The 12,297-nt window shown below is 44.2% G+C and overlaps 1 long non-coding RNA gene across 1 annotated transcript in view, besides 1 other annotated feature; it reads right to left on the minus strand.

Moving 5' to 3' along the window:
* The window catches only part of LINC02026 (long intergenic non-protein coding RNA 2026), a 46,288-nt gene that overhangs the window by 21,630 nt on the left and 12,361 nt on the right, over positions 1 to 12,297 (minus strand). The gene's annotated exons all lie outside the window — the stretch shown is intronic.
* Positions 5,439 to 5,733: a silencer, noted in NCBI's record as "tiled region #6900; K562 Repressive non-DNase unmatched - State 23:Low". NCBI's record gives its function as "represses a minimal TATA promoter and a strong SV40 promoter by Sharpr-MPRA in K562 cells {active_cell/tissue: K562}" and the evidence as "EXISTENCE:reporter gene assay evidence [ECO:0000049][PMID:27701403]".

Consider the following 12,297-nt stretch of genomic DNA (forward strand, 5'->3'; position numbering starts at 1 on the left):
AATCGCTCCTCCTCTCTCTGCTCCTACCCCCTCTACTACATTCACTTACCCCCAGCTGCTCTTTGATCTCTAAACACAGCATTATTCTTATAATCCCTTGCTTTTCCCAACAGTGTTCCTTTGCCCATAATAGCCTTGTCTCCCTAACAAAGTCTAAATCGTGTACTTTAAGACCCACCTGAGATTTCACGGTCTTAGCTAAGAAGACTTCACCACCACCCCTGCCCCTCCTCCACATAAGCCGAATCCAAGCCTCGGTGGGCCGGCGTCACCTTCCTTGACTCTGAGCACCTGAGTGCAAGAAGCTGTCAGATTGACTGCTTTGTCCTCGATGTCCACCCCAGTGCCTTTCGGGTAGTCACTGCTCAGTTAACGTGGAGGCGTGGACTAACACACAGAACCTTGTAGGATCGCATGCAAGATTCAAACAGTTTTCCTCAGGCATTAGCATTTTAAATTTGAAATAAGAGGAACCAGAAAAATGACTTTATGTTGGAGTCTGAAAAGAATGATCAGGCTGGGCGTGGTGGCTCACGACTGTAATCCCAGCACTTTGGGAGGCCGAGGCGGGCGGATCACCTGAGGTCAGGAGTTTGAGACCAGCCTGGCCAACATGGTGAAACCCCAACTCTACTAAAAATACAAAAATCAGCTGGGCGTGATGGCAGGCACCTGTAATCCCAGTTACTCAGGAGGCTGAGGCAGGAGAGTTGCTTGAACCCGGGAGGCAGAGGTTGCAGTGAGCCAAGATCGTGCCACTGCACTCCAGCCTGGGAAACAAGAGCAAAACTCCATCTAAAGGGAAAAAAAAAAAAAGAATGATCAAAATGAGTAAAATGTGGAAATGGACCAGGGCTTTACAATCATGTTTGAGAAAAACAATGCTTGTTGGAATGTATCATCCTGTCAACTCATTTCCCAAAAGAACTTGGGAAATTAAAAGAACTAAGACACTTTAAAGGGACCTAAAGCCCACTCCCCTCAATATCCATAATCCACATGAGTCTGTCATGGAGAAGGTGTAAACACTGGGATGGGCAGTTACCTTCAGCTCCAAGAGTAGGGATTTCTAAGAAGGAGTAAATACGTGGAACGGGAAGAGGCAAGGACTGAAGTAAGAAAAAGAAAATCAAGGAGAATGACTGCGTCTAGGAAGTCAGAAGAGGACCAGAAGACTTAGCAATAGTCTTGGTTACTTACTCAGGGCTGCAAGTAACCATGATATCCATGTCAGGAAGGAAGGACCCAGTCCAAGGAAGTACATATGGTCCAAAGAGCTAGGGTACGAAAGTAGGAGGCAGGGAGGCAGCTTGTCTTCAGGATGTAAAGCTGAATAAGCAACCCTGTATGTTTGCAGTTCCCTGGTTAATTTCCAGCCATAAAAAATATGGCCCAAGATTTACAAAAATATCCCTAAAACATTCCACATGCGTCTCAAGGCGGAGGGTAATTGTTATGAACAAATCCACACAAACTCTTGTGCCAAGAGCAACAAGTTGAGGATAAGGAAGGAATAGGAAACATGAAAAAAAGGGCCAGTCAGAAACCAGAATGACAGATGTGGGCTATCCTCCCCTCCCAGCAAAACAAGAGGGCGGGAGGTCCTTACAGCACCTCGAAGGCTTATCGCGGTGGGGAAAGATCCAGCACAACAGTCCTAAAGGGTATTTCCATGGTGGAGGATGCTCTGGCGGTGCAGCTGTGGGAACATCAGGTAGGAATTCACCGTAACCCTGCAGAATCTTCCTTTGACATGGCAGCCTCTGGACCTGGAGGGAGATCATCCAGGCCAACCCCCGTCTGTCCCGGAATCCCCTCCTCACGGGCTCCTTCCTAGCCAGTTTCTGCCTCAGCACTCTCAGGTGTGTTGACGTATAAGAAAGCTCTCTCCCATATTGAGCCAAACTCTTCCCTGGAGAATAGCAGAAGAGCAGGAAGAGTTGGGGGTGGGAAGTGTACCTTTCCCTCGAGACTCCCTCGGGTACCTGAAGTCTAATGTCCCAAGCTAAACATCCCTCAGTCCCTTTACTTTCTGTGACATGAGTTCCAGTCCGCCACTCTCCTGGCCAGTGTCCTGGGGACATGCTCAGGTTGGAACAGAGTGGGGAACTCCTGGGCCAGGCCTCCCTCCCTCCACCACTCTGTAGCTATCAGAAGACTGTTCTGGTGCAACAGCAGCTGTGTCTCCATGCACACACACACACACACACACACACACAAAAGAGTGCTAGACCCTTGCTACAATGTTTAGTCACATGGAAAGCAACTCCTTAGCTACCCCTTATCTGCCCCCCACCAAAAAATTCGTCTGAAAAGTTTGTTTTGTTCCTGACAAAAATCCATGGTGAGGATATCAAAGTCCCTTGTGGCTGCCACTCGGCCAGTGTCACCCTTCCCTCCTTCCTTCCTCTCCACTTTGGTCCTTCCTGTGCTGAGACGGAGCCTTATCAGGGCCTCTACCCCATCTTCAGTTCTGTATACAGTTGTACTGTTCACCTCCCAAGGGTGCCCCTCACCCCTAGTAAGCACGGCCAAAGAAAGAGAGTTCACAAAGCATAGCACGGAACACTGACAGGCGCTGAGTCAGGAAACATTTAGTTCCCACCTAACAAAATGAGATCCCAACCCACCCAGGCTGGAAACGGAGGGAGGCTCTCAGCCTGGTCAAAGGGGCTGAATCCCTGAGCCTCCAACACCTGCTCCTGGGCTCCTCCTTCCTCTTAGAGACCCCTGAGGGCACCTCAGGTCAGGAATCCAGCCACCTCTTTGAAGCAAATCCAATCCCAGCCCTTCAAGGCTGGCCATGGACAGAGTCTCCCCACAGGGGAGCAGCTGGAAGGAGCCAGGGCTGTTAAGACCCAGCTGCATGAAAAAAATGGCTGCTTGCTTCTGTGTAGTGTCTTGAAGTTTACTGACCATTTTTACACTGATCATCTCATTTGGTTCTCGGCATAATCCAGTGATATGGATAGGACTGGAGTAATGTTAATTTTCCAGATGAGGAAGTTGAGGCCTGGAGAGGAGAAAACATGAATTCCACAAATTTGTATAACAAATCAGAGAAAGAGTTTATTTTAGAACCAAAGTCTCTAATCTCTTTCTATCAGTATTGACACACTAACAGCCTTAAAATGCACCCACCTTAAATACTTTATGCATTCAGCAAGAGCCCAGTGAAGGGCCCCAAAAGTTGAGACTCAAAGCAAGCAGCCCCTGTCCTGCACTTCAGCCCTGAACTCACGATGGCACAGTGGCGTCCTCTGAGTACAGACATCTGTATGAGCCCAGAGGAGCACGTGGCCACACACTGGGGCAATGCAGGTCCCGCCGATGCAGGAGGAACATTCCCACGGATGACCACAGTCTGCACCAGGCTGTTGCTCTGGGAGATGAGAGAATCAGCAAGCAAAGAGCTGCCGGCCCTGCCCAGTCTCTCAGGGGCAACAGCCTAGGCCCGAAGCTGGCAAGCGCCCACCGCTTGGGTGTGACTCGGCTGGGTGCCCAGTCCTGCAGCCCGTCCAGGTCTCAATTCCTGGTAACACCCTAGTGCTTCACCCTCTTGCATATGGAAGAAGAGTCATCAGTCTGGCTGCAGCCCAACCTCAGCAGCTGATTGGAACGGGAGCAGAAGTCTTCACTAGACTAACCCTTTTTCCACTAGCTTATTCAAACTTGAGCTTTAAAGCTATTATTTCAAAGGACTGGACATCAGCCTCATAAAATATGCCTCTTTTCTAAACAAGCACATTTTGTCATCCACAACAGGAACACATTTAGCACCCTTCTAACTAACAACCTGCAAAGAAATTCCTGATGTCATTCAGTGTTTACCAGGGATTTCCTACATGCCGTCACACAAACATTCACCGACGGGCTCACCACGGGCAAGACACTGTGCAAAGTGGGATGTAAAGATACTAGGGAGAGGATTTGGCTTGCTCAGTTCAAATCCCAGTTCTTGTATTTAATAGCGGTATGACCTTGGGCAAGTTACTCAACTTCTCTGTGCCTCAGTTCTCGTATATGCAAAATGGTGATACTAGGGCCTAGCTCACAGAGTTACAAGAATTCAATAAGATAGTCACATCTAAAAGCGCTTTAAACAGTGCTCTAAATGCAGAAAGCCCTTGAAAAATGCTAGCTATTATTAAAGGTATATTTTTACTTATTCCTTTCAATATCCCAATGAAATGGGAACTGTTACTATCCCCACTTCACAGATGAGAAAATCGGTTCAAGGCATTCAACAAGTTTGTCAATGTCATAATGCTAGTAAGAGGCAAACTCAAGACCCTAAACAAGGTTTGTCTGAATTCCATGCTCTTATTCACTGTACTGAACAATGCTACAATCAACTTTTCCCCCAGAAAACGAAACACACACACACACACACACACACACACACACACACGCTTGCATGTGGGCACCACAAAAGCTCAAATATAAATTTGGAAGCTTCCTGGTCCCTGAAACCCCTCCACCCCACCCCCTGTAGAGCCTATGAGAGATAGGTCAAGAAAGTTTGCTTCAAGAATTTTCTTTCCCCACCCTCCCCCAAGTTTTTAATTATGAGTAATTTCAAGCATTAAAGAGAGTCAAAAGAATAGAACAATGAACATCCATATAACTTCCACCTAGACTTAACAATTCTTCACACTTTTGTGATCATAGGCTTCTCTATTTATATTTCTGCTAAAACATTTGAAAATTGTAGACACCGTAACATCAATCATAGCATCACCCTTCTCTGTGATTGTTTGTTAGAGTAAAACGAGTCTTGGTAATAGATTCTATCGAATTACTGTTAATATTCTTGGGTGTAATTTGCTTGTTATTATGACAAAGATCTTTATTCTTAGGAGCACATGATAATAAGGTTAAGGATCTCCAGGTAAGATCAGCCTTCATTATCCAGGTGGGCTCTAAATCCAGTGCTAAATATCTGCTAAGAGACACACAAAGAGACATTCAAAGAGAAGGAAAACACCCTGTGAAGAAGGAGGCAGCTATTGAGGTGACGCAGTCATAAGCCAAGGGATGCCTGGGGCTGCCAGAAGCTGGAACCAACAGAAGGCTTCTCCTCCAGAGCCTTCAGAGGGAATGTGGCCCTGCCAACACCTTGAGTTCAGATTTCTGGTCTCCAGAACTGAAAGCAAATACATTTTTGTTGTTTTAAGTCACCAAGTTTATAGTAATTTGTGGCAGCAGCACAGTCCTAGAGAACTAATATCCCCTAGTCACGGGGTCCCTGATACACTGTTGGAGCAAAGCGTGTGTGCTGAATTGAAAAACTGAAACAGCTGAGAGTGGCTTTATGCCTTTTTCATATCCCACAGCCAGGGAAGCACCTCCAAAGGCCACTGGACTCTGGCTAACAAATATGACACCAGAATAGGTGTCAACTGAACAATTTGTTCCTTTTAATCAGGTGTTTTAACCCCACTCTGTATTCATTGTTCTGCCCTCCTTAATTTTACTGTAAGTGACTGAATTGACTTTTGATGTATTGCCAGCACACAATAAATTATGAGCCTCTCTCTTTAAGGTTGGAGAGGGGAGGAACTCTACTTCCCTGTTCAGTTATTTCAGGCAAGGGTGGGAGCAGGTTTTCTGTGCCAGCAGCATCCTGATTATGATTCAGGATGTGTGGCCGAAGGCAAACAGTTCCTCTTCAAATTCAATCAAATAGGAAGGAGCAAAGGCCCAAACAAGAAAAGCCTGGTTCTCTTTGTGTGCACAGCCAAGGGGTCCTGGGAAGCTCGTGAGGGATGACACCCTATCTCGGCAAGACTGAGCATAGAGCGGTATTCAAGAAATTCTGCACATATTCGAAACGGGCTTCCAATCCTGGCCTTACAGAACCACATTTTGGACAATACGAAATCCACTGCAGGGGAAGTTATTTGAAGGCTAAAGGGGCAGAGGTTAACTAGAATTAACGTGTCTACTTTTTAGTCTCTTCTCCCTAAGAAGAAAAAATATTCTATATGCAACTTCTATGCTGTTGATTGTGTCTCCAAGGGGCCCAAGTGACTACTTCCACTTGTACATACATGGTGCAACTCGAAACAGGGATTTTTCACTCAGTAAGCCATGACCCATTAATGGATTGAGAAATCAATTTAGCAAGAGGGCCAGCAATTTGGCTTAAATGAATGGAAGAGGAGAGGAAATCTTTGAGTACATCTTGCATAGTAAAAGGGTAAATATCGTACCACGAAATTCTCCTTCAGTCTTATACAGATGCTCCTCAACTTACGATGGGTTCATCCAGACGTAACCTAAGGACCATACTGAATGCATATCACTTTCGCGCCATTTTAAAGTTGAAACATCACATATGGAACCACTGTGAGTTGGGGACTATCTATATGTGTTTGGGTCACTGGTTTGTAATAGAAAAGATACTCCTCACTGTGAGTCATGATCCAAAAAAGTAAGAAAGCCACTGACTTAAAAGAATAGATTCCACCAAACCAGAAAGCACTCTGTCCCCTCAGCCAAGCCCATGTTCCTGAGAGCACTGTTTGCAGTTACAATAGGGCACTCAGTTAACAGGGACAATTCACCATGCACCTGAGAGGGGTTGGCATCTGAAACCAAGGCATGCCCATTCCCTGGCAATCCACTGGCATGTCTTTCTCCTGTTCAAGCCCCTCCATGCGTGAGGCTCATCCTCTTGGTTCTTGAGATCCTATTTCTTTTTTATTTTTATTTTTGAGACGGAGTCTGGCTCTGTCGCCCAGGCTGGAGTGCAGTGGCGCGATCTCGGCTCATTGCAAGCCCCACCTCCTGGCTTCACGCCATTCTCCTGCCTCCACGCCATTCTCCTGCCTCAGCCTCCAGAGTAGCTGGGACTACAGACGCCCAACACCACCCCCGGCTAATTTTTTTGCATTTTTTAGTAGAGACAGGGTTTCACCGTGTTAGCCAGGATAGGATGGTCTCGATCTCCTGACCTCGTGATCCACCCGCCTCAGCCTCCCAAAGTGCTGGGATTACACGCGTGAGCCACCACGCCCAGCCTTGAGATCCTATTTCTATACTGTAGTAGAGCCTCTCGCAGTTCACTTCCATCTTGCCGGGACCCACTCTTCGCCCTCTGTAGCCCTAGAAACTCCACAGCCTTTTGCAATGACTCTGAAACTGACCCACCACAGGGGGAGTTCCTAAAGTCTTTGAGGAAGTCATTAACCATCTTCTTTGTATTTTTTTACTCCAATGTGTCCAATTTCTCCTTTGCCATTTTTCCAGGAATATGGTTGCCCTGTCCTCCATTAAGAATTCTCTTTCATGCAGCAATTTGAGGACTCTCCGAGCCTTATGGTCTAATACTGCGGCAAATGTTCCACAGTGATGTCCTGTTCCCTGCAGGGCCTGCCTCATGGATCCACTATGGACTTTCCAATCACACACAGTTAAAGACTGTAACTAGAGGCCGGGGGCAGTGGCTCACACCTGTAATCCCTGCACTTTGGAAGGCCAAGGCAGGCAGATCACCTGAGATCAGGAGTCCGAGACCAGCCTAGTCAACATAGTGAAACCCTGTCTCTACTAAAAATACAAACATTAGCCAGGCGTGGTGGTGGTGCCCGTAATCCCAGCTACTCAGGAGGCTGAGGCAGGGAGAATAGCTTGAACCCAGGAGGTGGAGGTTGCAGTGAGCAGAGATCGCGCTTTGCACTCTAGCTTGACCGACAGAGTGCAAATAAATAAATAAATAAATAAATAAATAATAAATAAAAATGAAAGACTGTAACTAGAGCTTTCTGATCTCACATAATTAGGGGCTACAGCTAGGTTAGTTGAATGGTATAGAATGGAGCATGCATTTTGGCATCAGCAAAACTGGATCTAAGTTTTGATGCTGTTGCTTTGCTGGCTATTGACCCTGAGCAAATTGCTTAACTCTTCTAAGCTTCATCTGTAAAATCAAGATAATACCCATCTGAAGGGAGTTGTTGGAGTCTACTTTTTAAAAAAAATAGGTTGAAGTTTCTGTGATGAATTCTTCTTGGACATCTTATGAATGGACTTCCAAAAAAGGCTTTACTCTTTCAATGTTTTTAGAAATCTGTAGTACCCAGGAAAAACATACAAAACAGAGACAAAACAGAGAAAACATACAAAACAGAGAATATATTTTCAGAAATGTATTTCTGAAAAAAATATATGGTCTAAAGAGTCAAGTCGTTCCTGCCACTTTAGAATTACAGAAAGTAAAAAAAGGGAGGGAGGGAGGGAGGGAGGGAGGAAGGAAGGAAGGAAGGAAACTCTACATTTGGGCTGACCTCCCATGACTGTGCCACAGAGGTTTTCTCACTCTTGCATTAACATCAGACCATGTGCATCTTCCTGCCAGCAGCATCGTCTGGTTTGGCAGGACTGCAAATCTGTTTCAGCACAAAGGATCCGCTTAATGGAAAGCAAGCGTGCTGCAGGAAAAAAAAGAAAGAAAAAAAAAAACGGCACTCACATTTCCTTGTGCACTCTTTATCAAAGGAACAAATGGCACAATAACCCAACATAACCAAGGCTGTAGTTGAAGAAACTGCCTTTTACCTCTGGGACTAATCTTTCTTCTAAGGTGGCCATGGATGGTGTGGCATCAAAAGGCATGCAGGTGACTTAGAATGGTTTTTAAAACCTTTAGCAGTGCCTCTGGAGCCCACAATAGAAAAAATACCAACACTTCCATTTTTAAATGGTTAAAAACGTAAACAGATAATTCAGAGAAAAAGGAATAAAAAGTTGCCAGTAAATATATTAAAATGTTTAAGTTCACTAATGATCAAAGACATCTGTAAAAGTAAAACCAGAGCTCCATACACTCTAGTTGAATTTGTAAATATTGAAAAATACAATTAATGTTAGTGTAGGTATGACAAATCCAGCATTCTCTGCTGACAAGACTAGAAAGGATAAACCTTTCTGACAGCAATTTGGCAATAATTTTAGACATTTTATACCCTTTGGATAGTAATTTAAATTCTTCCAATACATCAAAGAAAAATAATCAGATACATAAGCATGGTGACATGTAGACATAACTATAAAAAATCCTCATTACAGTAATGTTTATAATAGTGAAAAAATTGACCACAACCTAAATGTCTAATAAGGAAATTGGCAAATAAAGGATGGTTCATCAATATGATAGAATATTATATAGACATTTAAATTAAGTTTTCAAAATTTGTAACGGTATGGGAAAATGGGGTATAAAACGTTGCAAGCAGACTATTCCAAATTAGGTAAATAAAGGCATAGATAAAAGAAGGTTAAAATGAAATATACTAAAAAATCAGCAGATGTCATCTCTGGAGGGTGAAATTATAGGTAAATTTGTACTTGTCTGTATTTCCAAACTTTTGAAATTGGGCATATATAGCTTTTATCATTATGTGCTCTACTCACTACCATGTTATCCCAGCATTCTAGCAGGTGGTAGGGTGACTTACGGCTGGACACTTAGCAGTCCACTCTGCATGCTGGACAATGTGAAGAATGCGCGTACCATAAGCAATCCCAGACCTCAAGGGGTGTAACACATACAGAGATAAACGATGCTAATACTCATCTTAAGGGAGTTGTCGGAGTCTGTTGTGGAGGCTGCTGGCGGGGCCGACCTGACCTACCGTAACTTCCCCGTTCAGCTGCTGAATGTTGGCTGCTGGCAGCTCACAGCTGAGTCCCTCTCCAGGTAATATATAACTCCAAGGCTATATATAATTATGATCTGCACAGAGCCTTGAACATAGTAGGTACACAATAAACCAATTTCAGTAACAGATGAACAAAATAAGCAGTAAATGCTACTACAATATGACGGACAAGAATCCTATGTCCTGGAGGAGAGAAAAGAACACAGTTCAGGGAAGGGTCCATAGAGTGGCTGGTACTTTCATTGGAGCTTAAAGGAGAGGCTAACTGTGTGCATGTGTGGAGGAGAGGGGAGGAGAGGATCTATGGTAGACATAGGTATTTCTCATGGGCAGACCAGAGATACTTACTGTGACTTCATTGGCATGGTAGTGTCTATGTGCTCATTTCAAGCCATGTTAGAGCCTCCCTAAATGTTTATCTTTTTGCTGCAGCAGCAAGAAACAAATGGAGGCACAGGACTGTTGGGCCACACAGCAAGTAGCATTTGCTGTTCAAGGCAAGAAAAATGGCCTCTGCATGTCCATCCCTTGGTCATGATTTCATCTGAGTGCTGACTGTGGTGGATTCTGAGGAGCTAGTCTTACTGAATCCCCCTCATGGATGCCACACTTTACATGTAGCCAGCACTTCCAGATACAGCCTCTTGCTTAATCTCCTACCATCCCATGTAGTCTTCTCAGTTTACAGTAAGAAAATGGAGGCTGACTGGAGTGAAAGGGAAGTTTAAACTCACAACTGTCTAGTGATAAAAACCAAAGCTTCAGTTTAGTCTAGTGCTTTTCCCCTAATGCAAGATTAAGCTGTGATACCATCCTGGAAAACTACTCTTCTCAAAAAATGTTGCCTATCTCCTCCTTTTTACATTAAAATAAACAAATGAACCCGTCCAATCCTGTGCACATCTCTCTTGTTTTGAGGTCACTGTGTACTTCAGCATTTTGGGGTGTCAGATAATAACACAAGTAAAATATAAAAACGTGGTAGTTAAGGATTTTCAAAAGGAGTGATCAGAATTCACTCCATACATATATTAATGGTCCTTAGTCAATTCCCCTTTACTTCCACCAAATTTCCATAGAAATCTGTGAGACAGAAAAGATTAAGAGTTATTGACAGAGAACTGCAACATAACCTGAGTGGGTTTGTCTGGACACCAAAGTCTACTCTGAGCTTCTGGATCTCTAGGGGAAAATCAACAAGTATTTATTGAAAGCTACAAAAAAAATATGATACTCAGTGATTAGTGGAGGTTTTCATGTAATCTGCAAGGATTTTTATAAGCAAACCTTGTAGATAATGATGAAGCAAGAACTTTCTATTAGAAAACAACTCTCTTATTGCCAAAATATAAATATACACACACACAGACACATATATATCCTAAGACAATTGGAAGCCAAAATGGAATTGGCCTCTTATATAGTCAACCCTGTGCAACAACAAGGCAAGAAGTGGTCAGAAGACAGGGCATATTCTAGTAAGTGGGCTTAATATTTTTAGAGAATTTTACAAAAATTCATAAGGTTGTATTCATTTATTTTCTGTTGCTATCATTGAATACCTGAGACTGGGTCGCTTATAAATAAAAGAAATTTATTTCTTACAATTCTGGAGGCTGGGAAGTCCAAAAGCATGGTGCTGGCCTCTGGTAGGGCCTTCGTGCTATGTAGAAGGCATCACATGGAGAGTGGCAAAGACTATCTGTGTCAGCTCAGGCCTCTCTTCTTCTTCTTATAAAGCCACCAGCCACATCATGGGGGCCCCACTCTGACAACTTTATCTAACCCTAACAACCTCCCAAAGGCCCTATTTCTTTTCTTTTTTTCTTTTTTTTTTTTTTTGAGATGGAGTCTGGCTCTGTCGCCCAGACTGGAGTGCAGTGGTGCAATCTCGGCTCACTGCAAGCTCCACCTCCCGGGTTCACACCCTTCTCCTGCCTCAGCCTCCCGAGTAGCTGGGACTACAGGCATCTGCTACCACGCCTGGCTAATTTTTTGTATTTTTAGCAGAGACAGGGTTTCACCATGTTAGCCAGGTTGGTCTCGATCTCCCAACCTCGTGATCCACCTGCCTCGGCCTCCCAAAGTGCTGGAATTAGAGGCTTGAGCCACCAAGCCCGGCCCAAAGGCCCTACTTCTAGTCAACATAAGAATTTGGGGATTATGTTTCCAACACATGAAATTTAGGGAGCACATTCAAACCACAGCACTGGCTAAGAAATCTAAAATACTCATTTAAAGATGGAAAAGCTGAAGCTAGGAGAAGAGACTTGACCCAAATATATTTGGGTAACTAGCTTTAGTATCTATACCAACATCCTGGAGGAACTCATCAAGTATTGACAAAAAAGGTTCTACATGATCCATTGTTTTAAAAAAGAGACAGAGTCTCATGGTGTCGCCCAGGGTGAAGTGCAGTGGCTATCCACAGGCATGATCCTAGCACACTGCAGCCTCCAACTCCTAGGCTCAAGTGATCCTCTGGCCTCAGGCTCCCAAATAGCTGGGACTACAGGCACACACCATGTACCCAACCATGATCTATTTTTATGAATAAAAAACTTGTGGATTTCACATTAACATTCAAATATTTCACTTGCTAGAAAGATGACGAAGAGTTTAGTTTCTTAGC

The sequence above is a fragment of the Homo sapiens genome, chromosome 3 (assembly GCF_000001405.40).
Source record: "Homo sapiens chromosome 3, GRCh38.p14 Primary Assembly".
Classification (NCBI taxonomy): Eukaryota; Metazoa; Chordata; class Mammalia; order Primates; family Hominidae; genus Homo; species Homo sapiens.